Source organism: Homo sapiens, chromosome 12, assembly GCF_000001405.40.
Source record: "Homo sapiens chromosome 12, GRCh38.p14 Primary Assembly".
Lineage (NCBI taxonomy): Eukaryota > Metazoa > Chordata > Mammalia > Primates > Hominidae > Homo > Homo sapiens.
Window position 1 is genome coordinate 69,321,160 of NC_000012.12, and position 25,539 is coordinate 69,346,698.

A 25,539-nucleotide genomic window follows, 5' to 3' on the forward strand; every position below is an offset into this window, starting at 1 on the left:
TTTGAGATCTTTTTAACTTTTTTATATGGGTGTTTAGTGCTATAAACTTTCCTCTGAACACTGTTTCAGCTGTGTCCTAGAGTTTCTGGTATGTTGTATCTTTGTTCTCATTAGTTTCAAATAATGTATTGATTTCTGCCTTAATTTCATTGTTTACCCAAAAGTCATGCAGGAGCAGGTTGTTTAATTTCCATGTAACTGTATGGTTTTGAGATAATAACTTGTTTATTGTTTAGAAAGGAGAGCAAACTGGGGATGGGAAGAGGAGAAGCTATCATTTATTTATTGTTTAAATGTGAATGTGCCATAGTCATCATGGTGTGATTTCAACAAAGCCACAAAGTAGATATTAATATCCTTATCTTCTGTAAGAGGAAGTTGAGTTTCATAGTGTATGAATAACTGGCCAGAATCATAGAGATTAGTGCAGCTTCTTAACCTTTATTTTGGAGAGGTTGCTTGGGCAAATATCCGTGAGGCATCTGGACCCAAGTTCATATCACTTGCAGGAACTGTGGACTCTGATGGTGTGAATTCAGCCATGGATAATCTCTTTATGGTAGGATGACTTTGGAAAGAAAAGATATTTATGCAGTTTCCATGGGTTTCATAATTCTGTATTCTGAATGGTGCCCTGTCTTTGTGTCCCGCTTTGCCATTCAGAGGTGCTTAATTAATTAAGGCCTCATTTGGCCATGTTAACAGAAAATTATGTTTTTTCTTCTACCAGTACCTTTTTATTTGATGTTCAAAGATTCCAGTGGTGCTTACTCAGTCCAGAGTATCAATCTTGTTTACTCTTACTGCATACTGAAGCTGGACAGCCCAGACAACTCAGAAAAATGAACTGTTCATTATAACTACTGCAACTGTTGCTAACCTCAGTCTTTTTTTTTTTTTTTAGACAGAGTCTCACTCTGTCACCCAGGCTGGAGTGCAATGGCGTGATCTTGGCTCACTGCAACTTCCGCCTCCTGGGTTCAAGCGATTCTCCTGCCTCAGCCTCCCAAGTAGCTAGGACTACAGGTGCCCACCACCACACCTGGCTAATTTTTGTATTTTTAGTAGAGACGGGGTTTTACCATATTGGTCAGGCTGGTCTCGAACTCCTGAGCTTGTGATCTGCCCACCTAGGCCTCCCAAAGTGCTGGGATTACAGGCATGAGCCACCACGCCTGGCCTGACCCACCACGCCTGGCCTGACCTCAGTCTTCCTTGAGGAGAGGCCAATACTGCCCTTTCACCAGCCTGGACACAGTTGCTGCTGAAGCATGTAGCTAAATATGGGCAGCCCAGTCAGATGGAATAGATTTTCTAGTTTTCTTCTCTGTTGCCAGGATGCTGATGCGTGGTGACCCCAAATCAACCACCCATAGGGCTTCAGACTGAGAATCCCTCTCTTTTAGCCTGAAAATAGAGATATCAATCCCCCCCCAACAAAGCTGGCCCCTTCCAGATGACTCTTATTTTCTAGTCCTGCCCCTGCCCTAACAGAATCTGGAAGGGCTCCCTCTTAATGGGGCTCTCAGCCTTACCCAGGCATGGTCCATCAAGATGTAGTTATGACAGGGAAAAACCAAGGCCTGGGTTATCCAGACAGAACTACTGAGAAAAAATCTTCCAGAAGCTGCTGAGATGAGAGAAAGACAGGAGTGATTATGGAAAAGACCACCACTCATGAAGCATGTAGTAATATGCCAGGAACTGAGACAATGTATTAATAATGACTTTCTGTGTTTCTGTAAGATGTCTGGTTTGACATCTTAGGAGCCCTACTGGCAGGGGAGGGACTGCTCCTTCCAGGGCTAGTTAATTCCTAGACACAGTAAATAACTTGCCTGGGAAAACACCTTTCATTTGCAACACAACAAATCCAAAGCCACACCCCCAAACCTTTGGGGGTCGTGGCTATATCTAACTATCACACACCAAGCCAATATTTGTCCTATCCTAAATCACCCCTGGGCCAGGTACCTAACAACTAGAGCCCATCCCTATAGTCCAGAGTCTGTGGAAATTATTCAAACTAGCAAATTTTAAACTATTTACTGTCTTGCTCCTTCCTTCTCATGGAAATCACAATAAAGTCTTTGAGCCATGCTTTCCTCCTGCTCCTATGCCTTCTAACTGACCCAGGTGCTTCCACATGTGGTCCTGAGTGGAATGGCATGTACCCTTCTCTAGATAACTGAATTACAATGAAATCTTCTTTCAATGACATTAGCCTCTCTCTGCAATCGCTCAGTCATCTCCAAAAGTGAAAATCCTACAAGTACAATCAAGACACATAGGCACTTTACATATGTAATCCCATCAAACTCTCACATCTTCTAGGAAACTGAGGCTCATTGAAGACCCTTCACAAGCTCCTACAGTTTTAGTGCAGAGCCAAAATTTAAGCTCAAGTTTTTTGGACTTTACAGCCTATGCTTTTTAAATTACAACACGACACTGAGTCCCTTGACCCCCCATTTGCCCTGTAAGTCCTCACCCTGGAGGGACTAGAAATCAAAAGTGTTGGATTATAATTCATCTAGGACCTTGCTATGGACTGAATTTTGTCCCCCTTCACTACACCCCCAAATTCATACGTCAAAGTCTTAACCCCCTATGTGAATATATTCGAGATGGAGTCTTTAAGTAGGTGATTAAGGTTAAATGAGGTCATAAGAGTGGAGCTCTGATTTAATAGAACTGGTACCCTTATAAGAAGAAGAAGAGATTCAGAACTCTTTCTTCACCATAGGAAGATACAGGGAGAAGGTGGCAGTCTGCAAAGCCAGGAAGAGAGCCCTTACAAGAACCTAATGATGCTAGTTCCGATCTCAGACTTCCAGCCTCTAAAACTGTGAGAAAATTAATTTCTGTTGTTTAAGCCACCCAGTCTGTGGTATTTTGATATGACAGCCCTGAGTTGACTAAGATAGCCCCTACCTCATTTCTATACCTTGGCCAATCACTTCTCTCTGAACGTTAGTTACTCATATAACCATAAACAGTTTTATTTGTAAAGGTACAATTCTCAAATTATTAAGACCAAATCTCAGTTCTGCTTCTGATTCTATTATAGAAAATCACAAAAGGGTGTCAATCTCATGCTAAAAATCAAAACAAGCCAGACATAATTTTTTTAAATGCTTCAGAGAACTGAAGGTCCAGGTATGGTGGCTACTAGGGCAGCTGAGGCCTGGAGTTCCAGACCAGCCTGAGCAAGATAGCGAGACTCTTACCTCTATAAGAAAGAAAGAGAGAAAGAAAATAAAGAAGGGACTAAAGACACAAAGGAATCTAGAAAGAAAAGAAACACAAACTCCAGAAAGTAGCCCTTATCTAGGAAAGATAAGACCCACAGCTGCTCTCATCACTGGAGCAAGAACAGGTTAGGGGAAAAAAAAAAACCATGGATGGGAATAATGAGAAATTAGCTAGTTTTTCACCAATATATAATAATGGGCTAGTGAAACAGATTAAATCCCAAAGATACCCAGCCACAGAGCAAGTCTGCATCCACTCATTCACTTTTTCCCGTGGGTCATTATACAACAGTAGTAGGTAAAAAGTTAGAAGGAGAGAAGAAAAGTTAAGAGAGATCCCCTGTTGGGGTGTGTGGAGTCTTCTGCAAGTTCATAGCTCTTTCTGGAGGCAAGGGAACAGGGAAGACGAGTGGAGAGAAATCCATCAGACGTACTCTAATGTCCAACTGTGAAAGTTGAGATAGGTCAGGAATCCTCACAAGCAATGCAGGCATTCAACTACCAAAGCCTAAAGACTTAGTAGGAAAGCTAAGAAACTCCTCTGAAACATTCTGGACCTTCATGGAGAGCAGAGAAGCTGTCCTCCAAAGGCCAGAGGGTGAGCAGCAAGGCTTCAAGAGACCTCTACACACACAAACAGGAGACTAGACTGAAAAACAAAGAAAACTCCCAGTAACCCATAACCTGACAGCTTGGCTGTGAAGCAGGAAGAGATTCCCCCAGGTGACATGGCTGGGAAGCACAGATGGATCTCTAGGATGTTGTTAATTCTCAGATCCCAGGCTCTGCTGAAGAGAAGCCCTCATTCTACTCCATAACACTTGAAGTCAGTGGTGAACAGAAACTAACTAAAACCACAACACAGTCAAACACAGCTCAACTACACATCAGATAGACTTAGTTCCATGCCAATAGCCTGACACAGAAGAGGAAGTGGATCTGGAGATGGTCTTTAATGGAAATCACCACCAAGAAAGAAATTTTTTTTTGAGATTACAGTTTTATCTCTTGTTTACTAAATGTAAATTGTGTGTTTGCATGTATGCATATATATGTGTGTGTATATATCCATATGCAAAAAAAAAAACTTGGGTCTATACATTGCACCATTTCACCATACATAAAAATTAACCCAAAATGGATCATAAACCTAAATGTGAAACATAAATCTATAAAACTTCTTAAAACAAACATAGTAGAAAATCTTTGGACCTTGGGTTGGGCAAAAATTTCTTAGATACAGCACCAAAAGCACAACCCATAAAAACAAATCAATAAATTGGACTTCATCAAAATTGAAAACTATTCTTCAAAAGACAATGTTAAGAGACTGAAAGACAACCCACAGGTCACAGACTATGAGAAAATATTTACAAAGCAAATATTTGATAAAGAATTTGTATCTAGTCTGGGCGTGGTGGCTCACGCCTGTAACCCCAGCACTTTGGGAGGCTGTGGTGGGTGGATCACCTGAGGTCAGGAGTTCAAGACCAGCCTGGCCAACATGGTGAAACCCTGTCTCTACTAAAAATACAAAAATTAGCTGGGCATGGTGGTGGGCACCTGTAATCCCAGCTACTGGGGAGGCTGAGGCAGGAGAATTGCTTGAACTGGGGAGGCAGAGGTTGCAGGGAGCCGAGATTGTGCCACTGCACTCCAGCCTGGGTGACAGAGCGAGACTCTGTCTCAAAAAAAAAGAAAAAAAAAAAGAATTTGTATCTAGAATATATAAAGAACTCTTAAAACTCAGTAATAAGAAAACAATGTTTTTTATGGGCAAAATATTTCAACAAACATTTTACCAAGTAACATATGTAGATGGCAAATGAGCCCATGAAAAAAATGTTCAACATCATTAGTCATTGGTGAAATGCAAATTAAAAGCAAAATGAGATACTATTGCATACCTATTAGAATGACTAAATTAAAAAGACTGACCGTATCATGTGTTGGCAAGGATATGGTGGAACCTGAACTCTCATATGCTGGTTTTACATATGAGACACATATGATTGTAAAATGGTAAAACCTTTGGGAAACAGTTTAACAGTTTCTTAAAAAGTTAAACATACACCTACTATGTGATCCAGACATTCTACTCCTAGGTATTTACCCAAGAGAAAGAAAATAGATGTCCCTACAAAGACTTGAGACACGAATGTTTGTAACAGCTTTATTTGTAATAGCCCCAAAATGGAAACAAACCAAATGTCCATCAACAGATGACTGGAATAACAAATTGTAGTACAGCTGTACAATGGAATAGTACTCAGCAAAAAAATGGACTTTTGATACATGCAATGACATGGGTGAATCTTAAAATAATTATGCAGAGTTAAGCTAGACAACAAAGAGTAGATACTATGTGATTCTGTTTATTTAAAACTAGAAAATGCAAACTATCATCACGGAAAGCATATCAGTGGCTGCTTGGGAATGGGGGAGTGAGGCTAAAGAAAGGGAGGAATTACAAAGGGGCACAGAAAACTTTTGGAGATAATGGGTATGTTCATTGTTTTGGTGGTGATCATTTCAGGTGTGTATACATATTTTAAAACATCAATTTGTGGCCGGGCGCGGTGGCTCATGCTTGTAATCCCAGCACTTTGGGAGGCCGAAGCGGGCAGATCACGAGGTCAGGAGATCGAGACCATCCTGGCTAACACGGTGAAACCCCATCTCTATTAAAAATACAAAAAATTAGCCAGGCGTGGTGGCAGGCACCTGTAGTCCCAGCTACTCGGGAGGCTGAGGCAGGAGGATGGCATAAACCCGGGAGGCAGAGCTTGCAGTGAGCCAAGCGCCACTGCACTCCAGGCTGGGCTAGAGTGTGAGACTCCGTCTCAAAAAAAAAAAAAAAATCAATTTGTATACTTTAAATATATGCGGTTTATTTTATATATATATGTTATATCTCAATGAGCTAGTTTAAAAAAAACAATAACATACTACTTCCTACACACCAGATAGACTACAATTAAAAGTATGGGCAATACTAAAGGTATGGAGAAACAGAACTTTCATCATTGCTGGTAGGAGTCTAAATACGCCCAATTACTTTGGAAAACTAGCAGAATTTACTGCAGCTAAACAAACACCTATCCTATGACCCAACAATTCCATTGCTTGGACTATAGTCAAGAGACATGAGTGCATATGTCTACCAAAAACACCTATAAGAATATCCATAGTAACTATTCATATTTACCAAAGGAATGAAAAAAATTCATCAGTAGTTGAATTGATAAATTCTGGCATATTCATACAAAGTAATACTACACAGAAAAAAATGAGCCACTGCTACAAAGTGGCAACACATGGAGGAATTTCAGAGACATAATGTTGAGTGAGACAAGCTGACATGAAGAAAACATACTCTCTGATTCCATTATTATGACACCCAGAACAGGAAAAAACTAATGGTGACAGAGATAAAAATACTGTCTACTGGGCGCCTGTAGTCCCAGCTACTCGGGAGGCTGAGGTAGGAGAATGGCGTGAACCCGGGAGGTGGAGCTTGCAGTGAGCCGAGATAGCGCCACTGCACTCCAGCCTGGGCGACAGAATGAGACTCCATCTCAAAAAAAAAAAAAAAAAAAATACTGCCTACCTTTGAAGAAATGTTGATTGGAAGGAGGCATAGGGAGACTTTGGGTTACTGGATATATTCTGTATGTTGATATTACGTTTTACACATCTGTGTTTCTCTTATAGATGGTTAACACAGGAGTTACACGGGGAGTATGTAAAAATTCTTTCAACTGTACATTTAAAATGTGTTAACTTAGTAAATATAATACACCAATGAAAAGTAAAAAAAATAAATAAATGAACAGACACTCAAATTCCATGATTTAACGAGAGAGACTGGTAAGGAGAAACACGGATATGTAAAACATAATTTCAAGAAAATAGGCAGTGGAAATTTCACAAAGAATTTTAAATTATAAATACAGAGTTGCTCTTGTTATTTTTTCAGGAATTCTTAGTTGGCTCTGACTTCCTCCTCCCAAACTAGTTGTCTCCCAAACCTAATTGTCTGTGAGTTATTAAGGATTACTGAAAATTTGTTTTAATAAACTAAAATTAGCACATTAATAGGGTTTAGTGATTACTCTAAATTAGTATCCTACAAAGAAGTCTGGCTGCGTGCAATGTTAACTGTACATAAATAGTTAGAATTCCCCTAATTTTCAGAAAGGATGTTTTGCTATCAGTCCCATGGTTTTCGGTTCCTGCCTTTTTGCTTTGTAATGATCATTTCCCGTAAGTGTAGATTTACATCACAATGCTTTATGTTTATAATTATAATTAACAACATATATGCATTTTGCTTCAGATGTTAATATTCATAAGCATAATGCTAAAGTAGATGTATATAATTCAACCAAACTTGACTTTTTAAGTGACAGTTCATCATAATTACTCAGTACTTTTTCCTCAGAAAAGTAGCAACAGGTGGAGTAAAGTAGGTTTTGGGATAGTTTTCTGAGGTATTGCTCCTCACACTTGAGGGCATTAGCTGCAGGGGTCTGCCCTCAGACCCTGACCCAAATGACAGAAGAATAAAACATACATTGACACGTAGATATTGTTAGAAGCTGGAAAGGGAGTGTCTGCCTAGATGATAGGACTGAAAAAAGGCAGATTTAAGGGATGAGCTTAATAGAGTGTAGCAGGTATAGGTAGTAGGTAAAGTGAGAGAATTTAAAATGAATAAATTATCTGGCTTAGACTTTTCCTTCTTTAGCATAATGCCTGGGACCTGTGTTGTCTTCGGAAGCCACATTGTTGAGGCTGCGGGTCCTGTATGTCTTTTCTCAGGCTGGCTTGAGTTTTTTCTTCTTTCCATCCTTTGATAAGAATGTAGTCTCCAGGCTGGTGCTGGTGTACTGGAAATTCTAGGGGTGGTGCCTGTGCTGAGAGACTTTTTACAGTCTTTAAAGAGCAGGTTAGTGTTTTAAGAAAAACTTGTTGTACTTTAATGTCTAGTTTACAGAAAAACTGGATGATACCTTTTTTATTTTAGCCAATATGTTTACACACAGAATTTTTTTTACAATTAACGTTTTAAAACTTGTTTAGACCTTCAAAACAAAAATTATATATTTCCTGCATAAATTCCTTTTCATAACATTCTTCACAACTTTCACAGACAATCTTTAACATGGCTTAACTTTCTGACTATGTTTTATAACCTTCCTTACTAAAGGTGCATTCTTATATCTGTAACTTTAATATTTCTTTCCTTTCTTCCTACTTTCTCTCCTTAGTCTTTTTGTGTCTGTCTCTGATCTGTCTTTTCTAGTCTCTTTCTTACTCATTCTTTCCCTTTATTTCTCTTTTTAATGTGCACTAATTAGGTGAGTGTTGGTATTAACGGATACATGTATATATCTTAGTTTCCCAAATTTAGGGATGTAACATCTGTTTGCCACAACTGATTAGGTTCCAATCCTCTAGGGTTAACACCTGTTGAAAGAGGGGCTGTGCCTGTGAGCTGGCAATCTGGGCACCGTCAGATAATTTGTTTAGCCAATCTCTGTATAAGTTGAAGTTGTTTAAGATGAGTTTCTCTAATTTTAGTAGAAAAATTGATGCAATTGGGTGGCTTGGTCTAGCAGTGATGTTACAACCTGAAGAGCTGCTTGATCATTGCCATAAGCCAATGGGCCAGGCAGAGAGCTGTGGGCTCGAATGTGTGTAATAAAAACAGGATGTGTACGTTGGTGTAGCAATTGCTGAAGTCGGAGAAAAAGAGCACACAGAGTGGTCTCCAGAGCTAACTTCATGCTGTAAAAGTTCTTTAATAAATAAACAGAGTAACCTCAGCTCTCTGAGTGCTAGTAAACTCTGAGTGATGGAATTGTGTGGTCTCTACTAGACTGCCGCTTTTCCATGTTTACCAGACCCATCAGTAAACAGTGTTAAAGCATTAGGTATGGGGAAGTGCAATACCGCTTCGAATTACCTTTTACTTAAAGGAATCCTGATGATATCAGGGTTATAACTTAGCAATTGACTGCATTAATCATTAAGATGGCAAGTTGAAATAAGTAACATGAAATTTAAAAAGAAAATCTGAAAGCATCTCTAGAAGCAGAAACTTAAATAATATACTTTAACCATGTGCTTAAAGCCACAGGCAGAACAGCTTAAATCTTGCAATTGAGTTTTCAAGCTGATCAAGTTTATGGACTTTAATCTGGCCAACAGTCTTGAAAACAGTGACCCAGTAGTTGGGAAACTGAATTCAGGACTCTTTTAGCAAGTAGAAATCAAAAGACTATCTAATCAGTGGGTTACGACAGTCATTCATGCATATGCTTTCACTACACTTACATACAACTTTTCTTCTAATTTAACAAATATGATTTAGTTAGGTTTAAAGTTCTCCTTTAAAGGGTAATGTGTGGTTTTACATGCCTAGCTTTTAACTACTCTTTAACTAATTCATCGGCCTTCTGTAATCTCTCTCCCTTCAGAGGTTACTGTTTTACCTAAATTGGATTTGGAGAGCTACGTCAGGGGTAGGAGAGAGAGAGCAACAGTGGCCATTATCAGAAAAGAGGTTTTTCAAATTCTTACATTTTACTTAAATTTTAGCAGAGAATTATAATCTGGGATGTCGCTTGTAAACAAGGAGCACTTGCCTTGGGTCACCTGCAGAGCTAGAGAGCTGAGCCGGCGGGTCCCTGGGCGGTAGCTGTTTTACTCTTGTAAAAGCGCTGCCTTTTGCCTGTGCTGGCTCTGTTTCTGTGAACTTCCGGGCTGCCGAGCCTTTCTTTTTATTTACTGCTTGCTCGGCTGCACGGCTTTCGGCTCCTAATGCCTTTTTTCTTATCTTTTTATAAACATACACCTGATTGCCTTGCCGATTCTGCATTACTGGGCAGAGTAAGAGCTCTGCTTCTAATGCTGCCCGCTTAAGACAGGGACTGATAGCTGTAGCATATCCTAGGTCTTTTTTCCTATCTATTGGAGGAGGAGGCTCAGGTATAAACCCCCGTTTCCTCTGTTATTTCGGCCCGGTGATATTAGGGTGGAGGGAAGAGGAGGTGATAAGGCAGGTGACATTTTCTCCTCCTTGCTCTTTTTAGGCTCTTCTGCGTGTAACAGAGCTAAGGCTGCTCTAATTAAAGCCTATAACGTTAAAGCTGTTACTGGGACCTGTTGCCTTTGCACATGTTAAGATTTCTCCCCATTTGTTCCCAGAGTTCTACGTCTAGCGTTCCTTCTTCCGGGAACCACGGGCTTGGGATCACAAGAGTTTGCATTGCAACAGTTTGTCTAGCATGGATGATTAGGTCCCTTAATTGAGCCTGTGAAACTGAGGCTCCGCTAGCCTTAAGTAACTGTTTTAATACTTTCATATAATGTTTCTGCTGTGCTAATAACTGTGGTCCCATGATGAAAACTCAGCTTGACCCAACTTCCCCCAGAACTTGGTAACTTTGAGTGGGCACCAATGACTTGCTGATTACTCACTGACTTGACCGCGCGGTTCCTTTCTTCACCTTTGTTTTCCGGGGGGTCCGTCGCTTTTCCTTCACGCTTCCTTCGCAGCTTTCCTCATGAGGGCAGTCCTCACTCTTCCTAGGCAGCTTGCCTCAGGAGGGGCTCCAACTGCGGGGAGTCTGTTTCTGCAGACCCCTGACTGGCCTCACACGGCTTTCCTCACAGGGCTTTCCTCACACGGGTTTCCTCACACAGGCCACCAGCTGAGGTATTGCTCCTCACACGTGAAGGCATTAGCCGCGGGGTCTGCCCTCAGACCCTGACCCAAACGACAGATGAATAAAACGTACACTGACACACAGATATTCTGTTTTGCCAGTCCAGCTGAGTGTCCAGCCGCCTGCACACCTAGAGAGGTTTGTCACTGTGGACGGCCCTGAGCAGCTCGAACTCCAGGCATTTATTTAGTATACAATTAACAACAGAAGCTTTGAGTAAACTTGAGTAAACACACTTTGAGTAAACTTGAGTAAACACACTTGTGGATAATTAACATGGTTAAGAGAGTAGTTCTAGGAATGATTAAAACTCAGGTACCACGGTCTCAGGTAAATACTATCAGGCCTCTCAGCCCAAGCTAAGCCAGATGGCCTGAAGCAACTGAAGATCCACAAAAGAAGTGAAAATAGCCTTAACTGATGACATTCCACCACAGTGATTTGTTTCTGCCCCACCCTAACTGATCAATGTACTTTGTAATCTCACCAACCCTTAAGAAGGTTCTTTGTAATCTCCCCACCCTTAAGAAGGTTCTTTGTAGTTCTCCCCACCCTTGAGAATGTACTTTGTGAGATCCACCCCCTGCCCACAAAACATTGCTCCTAACTCCACCGCCTATCCCAAAACCTTTAAGAACTAATGATAATCCACCACCCTTTGCTGACTCTCTTCAGACTTAGCCCACCTGCACCCAGGTGAAATAAACAGCCTTGTTACTCACACAAAGCCTGTTTGGTGGTCTCTTCACAGGGACGCGTGTAACAAATACCATTAGGGGGCAATATCCTTGGTAGACCTCCCCAGAGAAGGCCATCTGGCTCAAAGGTTAGTTAATTGAAGTTGGGTAAACAGACTTAACTGGGGAAGCCTCTGTTGTCCCTTGTATTTACCCTATGACCTAATGCTCTAAGGTAAGAACTGGCCGCCTTGGCCTGTTCAATTATTACAAGCTATGTAAACTTTCGGCCTTCTAAAAGGTTTGTGACTATTTCCTATAACTTTCCCTAATATTTCCCTTTATTCTTTCTGCCACCATCCTGAGTGAATCCCAACAGTTTTCTCCCCTTGCAAAATGTACCACGTTCAAAAGTTTGAAGATCACTGTCTTTATTATCATCTTGCCTTTCATTTTGGCCTTCCTTCTCCAAACACGCACACACCCCCACACACACCAAATCACTTTAGTCTGTCCTAGCAAAAAGTGATCTATGGTCCTTTTTGGCACACAAAAAAATACAATTGTGTCATTCCTTTTACTCGGAAGACTTCAGTTTTTACATTGCCTTCAGCAGTGATTATTAACCTATTTTAGGTACTTATACTTTTGAGAATAAATAATAAAGCTTTTTACTTTCTTCTGAGAAAAATATGCAATATAATTTTATATAATTTTGGAGGTTTAGCAACACCTCTGAAGCCTATCCATAGATCTTCTAGGGATCCTTCACCTAACCTATACAATAAAAATGGAATTTCCTTTTAATAGCATAAAAGATTCTTCATTTACCCAGCCAAGCTCTTCACTTCCACTTTCTACTTTGAAAGGAACTTCCACAGCATACCATATTCTTTCTTATACCTTTTTTCCTTTCTTTTCTTTTTTTATTTTATTTTTTATTTTTATTTTTTTTTGAGACAGAGATTCCTTCTGCAACCCAGGCTGGAGTGAGTGCAGTGGCACAATGATGGCGCTACCTCGTGAGCTCAGGTGATCCTCCTACCTCAGCTTCCAGAGTAGCTAGGACTACAGGCATGTAACATCATGCCTGGCCAATTTTTTTTTTAAGAGACAGAATCTCACTATGTTGCCGAGGCAGTGTTTATTTTTAAATAAACTTTTAATTTCAGCATAGTTTGAGATTTACAAAAAAATCCTGAAGATAAGACAGTTCATTTCTGTATTCCCCACACCCACTTTCCCTTATTACTAACATCTTACATCAATAAGGTACCTTTGTTACAATTAATGAACCAATATTGATATGTTATTATTAGCTAAAGTTCATACTCTATTCAGATTTTTTAGTTTTTACCTAATGCCCCTTTTCTGTTACAGGATCCTATCCAGGGTGGCATATAACATTTTGTTGTTGTATCTCTTCTGGCTTCTCTTGGCTGTGACAGTTTCTCAGAATTTCCTTGTTTTGATGAGCTTGGCAGTTTTGAGTACTCATCAGGTATTTTGTAGAATAATCTTCATTTGAGGTTTGTCTGATGTTTTTCTTATGGTGAGACTGGGGTTATATGTTTTGGAGAGAAAGACCACAGAGGCAAATACCATTTTCATCACATCATATCAAGGATGCATACTTATCAATGTGGCTTATCACTGTTGATGTTAACATTGATCTACTGACTGAAGTAGAATTTGTCAGGTTTCTCTCCTGTGAAATTATTCTTTTCCCTCGTTTCCATACTGTATTCTTTGGAAGGAAGTCACTATGCACAGCCTCAATACTTCCTTGAGGGCAGAGTATCTACATAAAGTACTTGAAATTCTCCTGCATGGAAGATTTGTCTATTCTTCCTTTCTTTTATTTTTAAATATGTTTACCTCTACCTGGAATGCTGAAATAACACAATTTCAAAATGTCAGTGGCTTAACACGCATTTTATTCCTTATTCATTCCAAAATGCCTATCACAGTTTAGCAAGTGGCTCTGCTCCACATAGTCACTCAGACGCTCAGGCTGCCGGAGGTTCCACCATCAGGTAGCTAGCTACACTTTCTGAAACATACAACTTCATCAGTTGCCAAGGAAAAGTAAGAGCACTGGAGTGTTTTGCACCAGCAGTTAAATGTTTCAGCTTAGAAATGACATTTCTACCCATAGCTCATTGCCTAGACTTAGCTACATCACTCCGCCTAACTCTACAAGGGGACAGGGAAGTATAATCCTCCTCTGTGCCTGGAAGGAGAGGGAACTAGATATGGGTGAGTATTGGAAGTTTCTACCACAAGTCTTCTACCCCACTTGTCCACTAAACAAAATTCTATTCTTCCCCCAATTCTCATTCAGCTGAAATTCTATGAAGCGTTCACCATCTCTTCCAGACAGACTTCAGGTTCCCTCCATGCTCCATCATCACTTTGTAGCTATCACCATTAAAACTATTACATTGGATTATAATTGTTGGTTTGCATGTTCTGTAGAAGAAAACAACCATGTTTTTTCACCTTGGTATCCTCAGCATCAATACAGTGCCTCTTACATAGAAAAATATTCAGTCAATTTTTATTCTTGGCTGGGCGCAGTGGCTCACACCTGTAATCCCAGCACTTTGGGACACTGAGATGGGAGGATTGCTTGAGCCCAGGAGTTTGAGACCAGTCTGGGCAACGTAGTGAGACCCTATCTCTACAAAAAATGAGAAATCAGCTGGGTGTGCTGGTGGTGCACCTGTAGTCCCAGCTACTCAGGAGGTTGAGGCAGGAGGATCCCTTGAGCCCAGGAGGTTGAGACTGCAGTGAACTATGATCACGCCACTGTACTTCAGTCTGGGCAATAAGACCCTGTCTGTCTCGATTAAAAAAAAACTTTTATTATATTGAACTAATGAATAGATAAATTCTTAAACTTTGTAACCAAATGTTATACAGGACCTTATTCTATAATAAAATTATAGTGTTCTTAGCAATGAAAGTGGAATTTTTTTGTCCATATTAAATTTTTTTTTTTTTTTTTGAGACAGGGTCTCTCTGTGTCACCCTGGCTGGAGTGCAGTGGTACAATCTCAGCTCATTGCAACCTCTGTTCCTCCTGGGCTCAAGCAATCCTCTTGCCTCAGCCTCCCGAGTAGCTGGGACTAAGGCGCATGCTACCACGCCCGGCTAATTATTTGTATTTTTTGTAGAGATGGGGTTTTGCCATGTTGCCCAGGCTGGTCTCGAACTCCTGGGCTTACACGATTTGCCCACCTCGGCCTCCCAAAGAGCTGGGATTACAGGTGTGAGCCATGGCACCCAATCCCCTATTAACTTTAAATGAAGTATTGAATCATACCTTCAAATAGTTTCTACCCAGATTGGTATGAGAAATCCTGTGCCTCAAACATATGGTCTTATTTCTAATGTATTCCAGAGGGCTAAGTTAACTGTGTATTTTTAAAAATTATTCTCTCGGCCAGGCACAGTAGCTCACATGGTGGATCATACCTATAATCCCAGCACTTTGGGAGGCTGAGGTGGGCGGATCACTTGAGGTCAGGAGTTTGAGACCATCCTGGCCTGGTGAAACCTGTCCCTACTAAAAAATACAAAAATTAGCTGGGCATGGTGGTGGGCGCCTGTAATCCCAGCTACTCAGGGAAGTTGAGGCAGGAGAATTGCTTGAATCCAGGAGGCGGAAGTTGCAGTGAGCTGAGATTGTGCCACTGTATTCCAGCCTGGGTGACAGAGCGAGACTCCATCTCAAAAAAAAAAAAATTAAATAAATAAATAAAAACTATTCTCTCTCTTTTTTTAACTCTAAGCTATATTTTGTAATTATTTTCTAATAATTAAAAAAACACATTCCTCTGTAGTTTGTGGTTGGCTTTTATTTAGAACTTTGTGTTACTTCATTGCATCATATGTAACGTCAGAATCCTGTTTTAAAACACATGTTCAGAAGAGAAGAGCAACAATTTAATTGTAGGTGGGATGTATTTTTTATACAGTGACTTTACCAAATTTGTTGAGTGGTTACATTGTACAAGTGAAGGTTTCTTACTGGGAAGGCAGAAGCAAAGGTTTAAAGGAGCATAAGCCCTCGAAAAGCTCATGATAGCAGTTATAAAGACAATACAACAGCAAACAATAATAGAAAATGAAGTCATAGATGATATGTAATGACATATGTGTGTTTTTAACACTAAGTCCTCTGAGTTCAAGAATGGCACGTTCTGGGTGTGGAGTGGGTCAGAAGAGAGAAAACCTGGAGTTAAGGGGATTAGTAAGAAAGCCATGTACTAACATGAAGTTATCATGAAGTCCATACATGAAATTCAGGTCTAAAATAGATGCTACACTCCACAGAGGAGATTTAACTTGCAGTGTGATTGAATTCCTTACATAGATATGATAATTCTAAGTGTAGTTTTTATGTGTTTAGGTTTATTTTACTCCCTTTGTTTTCACAAAAATTAGTAGTCAAGTAGTAGCAGATTAGGGTTTAGCATCCTATTTTTAAAATAACATTTCTAATTTACTGTTAGTCTTCAATTACATGTCAGTTTGAAACAGCAGTCAAGGAAATTATTTTCTAAAATAAATGTGTGATCTCAACACAGTGTTTCTGGAACTAAAAAAACCCACACAAAATAGATGTGTGAGACACTGATACCAGCCCTTATCCTCTTTGGGTCAGGCTGACTTGATTGCAAGGCCTGGGTGTAAATGGCACTACATTTGTGGGTTCAGTTTCTACTTGACTGAGGTGGAAATAGAGTATTTCCATGCTGGCAACCAGCTACCTCACAGAGGTATTGTGTACTGGAGTTGGAAATAGAGTATTTCCATGCTGGCAAACAGCCACCTCACAGAGGTATTGTGTACTAGAGTTGGGGGAGTGAGGGAGGAAAGAATAAGATAGTGTAGCTGCACCCAAAACAACTTAGAGTGATGCCAAAAGAGAGACCAGCATCATCTTCAAGTAAATGTGTATATGCAAATCATCGTTAATAGGAAGTTAAACATTTTAACTTATTTGCTTTCTAAGGGTTGCAGTAAAATGTTTGTCAAGAGGGAGTAAAATGCAACCCACATATATGACCCCATTATCCTATTTACAACAAATTTCTTCCCTCTTTCATCAACATTTTGTGATGTTACCAGAGCTCATTTACAGGTTGAAATCACTAGTTCAGTGAGAGGGAATTTAATAAATATACAATTAGATAGGCGCAAATGAAAAGATTATACAGAACCTAGCTTACAAAAACAAAATGGTAAAAATAAAAACAAAATTTTAAAAATACAAAATGAAAAGATTATACAGAACTTATATCCAAAGATCTTATTTAATACAGAAATGAAATCAGAATGCCCTTCTAGAAAGAGGAAGTTAAAATGGGAACACTTCTGTTTCTTTGCAAACAAGACTGCATTTCATCACATCTGAAAAATCAGTTGATGATTTCATTATAATTTCTCAATGTTGAATGCCCAGTTATTGTGTAAATTGAGGAATGATCTTTGTAACTTGACCAAAGTGGGAAGAAAAGTGTTTGTTTATAATGGGAAAGGGGGAAGTGAGATCTAGCCAAAGTTCTAATTACTTTGGCCTTGGAAGCTTAAAGATAATGGAAATAATAGAGCATTGAGAAAGAAATCAAAAGCCCTTCAGAATGATTGTATCAGTTGTTCAACACTGACAGCCTCTAAGCGTTCAATGGCATTGCCTGCTGTTAGACCAAACTCTTAGAGAAAACTCACACCTTTAACATAAATATATAAACCAGGTGTGGTGGTGTCTGGCCTATAGCCCCAACTGCTCTGGAGGCTGAGGTGGAAGGATCACTTGAGCCCAGGAGTTCAAGGCTATAGTGTACTATACCCATGCCTGTGAATAACCACTGCACTCCAGCCTGGGCCACATAGCAAGACCCATCTACAAAATATAACAAAATAAAATAAAATTAAAATTAAAAAGAATATAATGGGTTGGCACAACTATATCAGGAACTGAAATCAACGTTATAGCTTGTCAAAGCGTGAGAATTGGGTCTTAACAGAATTTATTCCTTTTTCACTTCAATTTTTACAAGGTAGTATGGTAGACTGAAAAAAGGATGTAACTGAACCTGAATCCAAATCCCTGCTCTCACATTTATTAGCTATATTTCTTTATTTATTTGTAAAATTGAAATAATACTTATAAAATCCCTGTAAGAATTATAGGTAATGTTTATTAATGGACTAGCACTTTGTAAGTATGTGATAAACAAAAGCTAGTATTGTTTCCTTTCCCTTTTTTCTTAATCTCCAAACAGTCTGAGTAATCACCAGTTTAGGAGGCTGACTATTCAACCTCCTAAATATCTCTTGAGCTCTCTCAGTTCTCTCCACAGGCAATCATCACCTGCCATCTGGATTATGTGTCAGTTCTCTAGCAATTCTCTCTGAAGCCAATATAGAGTGATTTCTTTAAAAATTTTGAGGCTGTTACTCTCCACTTTAATACTCATGAATAGTTTTTCATTGTCTTTGGGATTAAATCCTAAATCCCACTCTCTTTGGGATTAAGTGCCTAGATGTGGTCCTGCCCCTCCCACCCTGACCTCAATCTCATTTCTCTTTGCCACTTTATCCAGTGGCAAATGTCTTTCACCAGACATTCTAGCACTTACAGATTTAAAGTCCAAATATCTTTTTATTTTATTTTATTTTTGAGACAGAGTCTCGCTCTGTGGCCCAGGCTGGAGTGCAGTGGTGCGATCTCGGCTCACTGCAAGCTCCAACTCCCAGGTTCATGCCATTCTCCTGCCTCAGCCTCCCCAGTAGCTGGGACTACAGGCGCCCGCCACCATGCCTGGCTAATTTTTTGTATTTTTTAGTAGAGACGGGGTTTCATCGTGTTAGCCAGGATGGTCTCCATCTCCTGACCTCATGATCTGTCCGCCTTGGCCTCCCAGAGTGCTGGGATTACAGGCGTGAGCCACCGTGCCCAGCCAAGTCTAAATGTCTTTACCAGACATTCTAGCACTTCTTTCAGGGTCTTCATCAACCTGTTCGTGCCTCTTGCCTCTGGGTTTTAGAACATGCTGTTTCAGCCCCACTCTCTCTCCACAATTTCCCTACCTCTCTCATTTGGCTAACTACAACTCATCATTCAGGTCTCAATTAGAACCTCCTAGACAGGTTTATCACTTTTGTTAATTTCTTCTATAAATACATTGTTTCTATTCTGAAGTACTCACCACACTTAAAATTGTTTTCAATCAGCATGACTTACTATTCTACAAACTCTATTAGGGCAAGGATGTTACCTGCCTAGTTCCTACCAGAACCTGAGCTCCTTGCACGGTGCTGCCTAGCAGTTAGTAGCTGCTAGATAAGCATTGTCAAACAAATTATTTCCCAATAAGTGCGTGAGAGTATGGCACATGGCAAAGGCAACAACTGTAAGAAGCATATTAAAAGCAATTTAAGAGCTTAAAAGCCAGGATGCCTTTACAAAAGTGTTTTTGAACTTTAAACATAACTCTGAAAGAGTCTTAACTCTAACTATCCCTTTAACAGAAATGTTGTTACTTTTTAAAAACTATTTTCAGTGATTCTTTCAGATATGGCCTACTCTCTTTGCTCTCTGCCTTTGCTTATATGACTTTCTCTATTTAGAACACTGCCCACCTAACCTCAATTCCTCCAGTCCCCTGGCTGGCTTGTACTTCTTGAAGACTTTGCGGAATTAGGAGGCTTTCCATAGGCAGAGTAGGTGGGGAAGGGCATAGCAGATTGAAGAGATGGCAAGAGAGAAGGCAAAGAACAGAGTAAATGCACAGCAAATACCAGAAATGGTGAATTCTCCTCTGTGGGTGGAGGTAAAATGCATGGCAGAGCCTGGCAATACCCTTACTAGGCTAGTGCTACTTATTAGGCCAAGTGATCAAGTGACAGATTTTAAATACAGTAACATGTGGCTTTTGCTAGAGACTATTGTAGCACAGTATTGGCAATATAGTAGAAATAATTCCCTATTACCCAGTCCTCGGATGTATGGTGAATAGTATTATTTCCTTTCAGAATTAACCAGTTACCTGACCCAAAATGCAGCAGCAAGACCATAGCATAAATTAAAGTTTGATGATTTCTGCAGTTTGGATGGTGTCAGAAAACCTGGGAAGGAAATTATCTAGCTTGTTTGATCTATTTTGCAATGAGCAGGACCTCAAATTACAGGGATATTGAGTGCTAAAAGAACAGATTGCATGCCAGTCACAACGGGAAGAAAGAAAACAAAACTAATCCTTGGGAAAAAATACACTAATCTGAATTAGCCAAGCCTAAATTAGTTACCATTTCCTAGCAACCCATGTGCCTCAGGAGCCAACGAAATGCCACCTTTGGATTGGGGTCAAGTCCTACTCCTCACAGGGACTGCTCCCACAAGGAAGCCATTCTGACCCGTGGCCAGGCTCCTGGACTTGCAGGGGACAGCTGGAGGGGTGCTCGTCCTGTTTCACGAGACTGGTACACAGCACCTCCATTAGTTGAGAGAGTAATTACTTCACTTTAACCTTTCAGCATCTAGTGTCCCCCAGAGAGTCAGAGGGTATTGCTCCCTACACCCCAACTCTCTCACTCCCTGCATATTCTGCTAGCAGCCACGCTGCCACAACAGAAATGAGACTAGGTCCTCTGCACCCCTAAGCCAAACCCCACAGGGCAGCCTCAGCTGAGTCATGAGTGAAATGCCGCTGTCCTAACCACAGTATCCCAACGTCCTCAATAACTTCGAGGAAGCAGCACTGCTTCACTACCAAGTGGTTACTTGCACACCCTGACAAAAGCCATGCCAGTGCTTCTCTCCATTAACACAATTTAGATTTACCTGCGTCAGTGACATTCTGAGGGTTTTTAAATTCATTTTTCTCATATACTGACACAGGTAATATTTTAATTACTTAATACTAATAGCAAAAACAAGATTGCAGGAACAAAAAATCTATAGTAATGACATAAATTATAGTGAAACAAGATTATAAAGACAGAGAGGTCTGTCTCACTAGTGTGAGCTATTGAAAATCCAAACACTGGCTGGGCATAGTGGTTCACACCTACAAGCTCAGCACTTTGGGAGGCCGAGGTGGGAAGCTCACTTGAGCCCAGGAGTTCGAGACCAGCCTAAGCAACAAAGAGAGACCCCATCTATACAAAAATTAAAATAATTAGCCAGGTGTGTGGTACGTGCCTGTAGTCCCAGCTACTCTGGAGGCTGAGGCAGGAGGGTGGCTTGAGCCCAGGAATTCAAGGACGTAGTGAGTTATGTTGTGCCACTGCACTCCAGCCTGGGTGACAGAGTGAGAATCTGTCTCTAAAAAAAAAAGAAAAAAGAAAAAAAGAAAGAAAAAAAAACGACCTAGGGTTACCTCTGGAGCTAATGGTGACCTGAATCGTGACACCAACGAGCTAGTTTCAGGAAAATAGTTTAATCCCTAGAGCCCCCAGGAATCATCTCATTTTCTGCTTTCCAATCACATTCTAATCAGAGCAAGCAAGTCTAGATCAAATAGTGTGGTTAGTATAGATCTGATATACCATAAATGGACGTAAGAAACATCACTTTGCTTTCTTCCCAAATCTAACAAAATATGTCTCTAAGCACCTCTTCCCCCGTGTGGTGAGGCATTGTTAGTTTTGTTAAACTTTTTAAGCTGATGTCCTGTCCAGGAGCTTCTAGGAGTCTCAAAAAACTACAAAGTTCAGAAAACCTGGGGAAGACCTTAGAGCTTCAGCCTGTCATGGTCATGCCTGAGCTATTCAGACAGTGGTTATTGCCCAAGCTGACGTGGTCATTCAAAGGCAGGAGGCTCCTTTTCCAAGCTTTGTTGATGCCCAAGGCAGGGCAATTTGTGTTCAATTTCTCCAACAACTACATGCCATCCAAGAGACTTCTTGCCACTGCCCTGGACCCCACATGGGAGTGAGATGCAGAGTGCTACCAGTCTTGGAATCTGCTACCATTATCACCCTAGATATGACCAAATTTGCCTCGTTAATACCCAGCGGCCTCAGAAAGTCCCTCCCCAGCTTATCCTCTCTCAGTGGAACTTGTTTTCCAAACAACAGCCTGGATAGGAGGTAGCATTCTGGAAGCATGGCAACTTGTGTTTCTTCCAGGAAATATAAATGCTATTCTTGCAAGAGTTTTAAATCTTTTTTTAAAAAACTGTGTAATAAAAGTGACCCTACCAAAAGAACACTGTACTGAGATATTCTTTCTAGTTAATTTTTACATGGCTTATATGTTATCTGAATGCTGCTCATGAAGCTCTGTGAAAATATTTCGCTTATTTCCATTGAAATTTAAGAGAACACAGATCTGGGTACAGATGAGCTGCAGAAGAAAGATGATGATAAAGTAACATGACTGCCTCAACAAATATGACAGAGTTCATATATGCAGATGAATGAGGAAGGCTTCAAAATAATCACCCTTACTTTAGTAATTCCACTATCGATTAAAATATTTTTGGAACTTCTCTCTTAGAGTCCCCTTCAAGGCCTAAAACACACTCCTCTCTTTCTCCCTCCCTTTCTTTCTCTTATTTTCTCTTATCTCCCTGAGATATTCGTTATAGCTTATGTCTTATTTTGTTTTGCCTCTGTTTCCTTTGAGTTCTTCTTCTCGAAATGTTTCTTTTGATATTAATGTCACTCTGTCTTTCACAATAGTGTCTTTCATCAAGTATCCTCCACTGATTGTGTAAGAGTAATACAAAGCACCAAGGAGCTGAGCAGAAAATCTGTAAGCCTGGGTACGTCTCACCACAGGCAATTGATCAAGACTGGCCATTTCACTGTGGGCCCCAAATATTAATATCTATAGGTCTTTTCTCCTGGTTCAGACATTTACTCCAGAGAGGATCCTATTGGCTCCTGCCTGGGAGGTGGTTTTGGCAGCCAGACATCAAGGAGCTCAGTTCAGGCAGGTTGAGAGCTGGGTGACTGGCTTACTGCTCAGAATGCAGATTTGCATTTAATGCCCCTATTTTCATTATGGCATTATCCCCTGTCTTTAGTCATGCCTTGAGTCCTAAGTCCAGAGTCTTTGGTTCATCCTCTCCAAAGAGTGATCTTCTCATCCTTCTTCTAGGGTGGGAAAAGGCAGCAACCTGGTTTCCTGGTCTGGGGGAGAAAATCTGGGGCTTAACTGTTCCATATACAGATTTCCAACCTGTCTTCCTGTTTATAGCACTGCCGTGCAGTCCTGCCTTCAGAATTACTGAGTTTTTTTCCAGGATCTAGGGCACAAACTAGTTTGCTTTGTATTGATTTCCCTTTTTCCAGGCACTCAGGTGTCAGCTTTCTCCATTATCCTAAGTTAGTTACTACTCAACCACTCTGTATTATAAACTTTTATTGACATTTCTCATCTATTATCATCTCTTCTGCTTTTCCTTTGCCCTTATTGGTTTATACCTTTTCAAACTCCTTTTGTTGATACTTTAATGGAATTTGGAAAGTGAACAGAGAGAAACCTGTGTGCCCATCCCACCACTTTCAGCAGAAGGCCTAGTGGCTTATGATTGTAATCACAGCACTTTGGGAGGCCAAGACAGGAGGATTGCTTGAGCCCAGGAGTTCAAGACCAGCCTTGGCAACATAACGAGACTCTGTCTCTACAAAAAATGAAAAATTAGCTGTGTGTGGTGGTACACGCCTGTAGGTGGGAGGATCACCTGAGCCTGGGAAATCAAAGCTGAAAAAACATAATTGCACTGCTTCACTCCAGTCTGGACAACAGAGTGAGACCCTGTGATATAGTTTGGTTATTTGTGCCCATCCAAATCTCCTGTTGAATTATAATCCCCAGTGTTGGAGGTGGGGCCTGGTGGGAGGTGTTTGGGTCATGGGCGCAGATCCCTCGTGGCTTGGTGCTGTCCTGGTGATAGTGAGTGAGTTCTCACGAGATCTGGTTGTTGTAAAGTGTGGCCCCCGCCAACCCCCGGCAACTCTCTTGCTCCTGCTCCACCACGTGAAATACCTGTTCCTCCTTCACCTTCCTCCATAATTGTAAGCTCCCTGAGGCCTCTCCAGAAGCAGATGCTGGTGCCATGCTTCCTGAACAGCCTGCAGAACCATGAGCCAATTAAATCTCTTTTCTTATAAATTACCCAGTGTCAGGTATTTCTTTATAACAACATAAGAATGGCCTAACAGAGCTGCGTGCAGTAGCTCCTGCTTGTAATCCAAGCATTTTGGGAGGCTGAGGCAGGAGGATTGCTTAAGTCCAAGAGTCCAAGACCAGCCTGGGCAACACAGCAAGACTGTGTTTCTACTAAAAATTTAAAAAGTTGGCCAGGTGTGGTGGCACACACCTGTGGTCCCAGCTACTCGCCTGTGGTCCCAGCTACTTGGAAGGCTGAGGCAGGAGGATTGCTTGAGCCCAGGAGTTCACGCTGCAGTGAGCCAAGATTGTGCCCTTGCACTCTAGCCTGGGCAACAGAGCAAGACCCTGTCTCCAAAACAACAAAACAAAACAAAACTGGCCTAACACCCTATCTAAAAACAAAACAAAACAGAGGGCTATAGCACATTCTTTAGAATATCTTAAATTATGGCAAATCTCCATCTTTTCAGGATGGTTTTAGTTTTGGGGAATAGTCAAAAGTGTGAGAAACCCTTGGTCAAATTCCCTTTCCTAGGCCTGAAGCCCCCAACACTCACCATAAATAATTATTTTTCTCTATCTTGAGAAACAAATAAGTTGAGTAAATCATGACTATTGCCCATTGTAATACAACAAAGTAATCTAGGGTCTGTAAGCAACTTTCCTAAAAAGATAAAATGCATACATTGCATCAAAAAGAACATGCAGTACATACAAAATTTCTGAGGAAGAAAAATTATCTCTGCCCTCAAATCATGCTTACTTGCTATTTTATTTTTAAATAGATTGCTCATTAAACCTACCTCAAATGGAATGACAGGATTATAAATGGATGTTATAACTGCCCTTAACTTCTTCCCCAGGGGAGATAATTAAGGGGATCAAAAACACTTCTTCCCTTTGCAGTAGTCACATGATAACATGCTATCACTTTGGTTCAGGTTGGCAAGCAAATATTTGCTTGTTCCACTTCCAAGAAAGTATAAGGTCATAACTATTTAAACATTTGAAAACAAAAATTAATCTTATCAGCATAAGGCTGAAACCAGCATATGTAATAACTGGCTGTTCTTTAGTATTGAGTTGGGAACGGCATAAAGGGGACCAAAGACTAACTCTTTTTTTCCTTCTTTCTTTCTTTTTTTTATTTTTGAGACACAGTCTCACTCTAGTTGCCCAGGCTGCAGTGCAGTGGTACGATCTCAGCTAACTGCAGCCTCAACCTCCTGGGTTCAGGTGATCCTCTGACCCTCAACCTCCCGAGTAGCTGGGACTACAAGCACATTTTTAAATTTTTTTTTATTTTTAGTAAATATAGGGTTTTGCCATGTTGCCCAGGCTGGTCTCCAACTCCTGGTCTCAAGCAGTCCTCCTGCCTCGGCCTCCCATAGTGCTGGAAATACAGGCATGAGCCACTGCGCCCAGCCAAGACTAACTCTTTTAATTGGTTTCTGTCTCTTTGGGTCCTGAAAATCTGTCTCACTATTTATTATTATTATTATTATTATTATTATTTGAGACAGAGTCTCACTCTCTTTCCCAGGCTGGAGTGCAATGGCACAATCTCGGCTCACTGCAACCTCCGCCTCCTCGGTTCAAGCGATTCTCCTGCCTCAGCATCCCAGGTAGCTGGGATTATAGGCACCCACCACCACACCCAACTAATTTTTCTATTTTTCGTAGAGACGGGGTTTCACCATGCTGGCCAGGCTGGTCTCGAACTCCTGACCTCA

General features: G+C 40.7%; 2 annotated features.

Moving 5' to 3' along the window:
* Window positions 10,011-10,170: an enhancer, noted in NCBI's record as "active region_6649". NCBI's record gives its function as "activates an Ori minimal core promoter by ATAC-STARR-seq in GM12878 lymphoblastoid cells {active_cell/tissue: GM12878}" and the evidence as "EXISTENCE:reporter gene assay evidence [ECO:0000049][PMID:35858748]".
* Window positions 11,011-11,725: an enhancer, noted in NCBI's record as "H3K27ac-H3K4me1 hESC enhancer chr12:69725950-69726664 (GRCh37/hg19 assembly coordinates)". NCBI's record gives its function as "activates a minimal SCP1, AML or CMV promoter by ChIP-STARR-seq in naive H9 embryonic stem cells {active_cell/tissue: H9 hESC(naive)}" and the evidence as "EXISTENCE:reporter gene assay evidence [ECO:0000049][PMID:30033119]".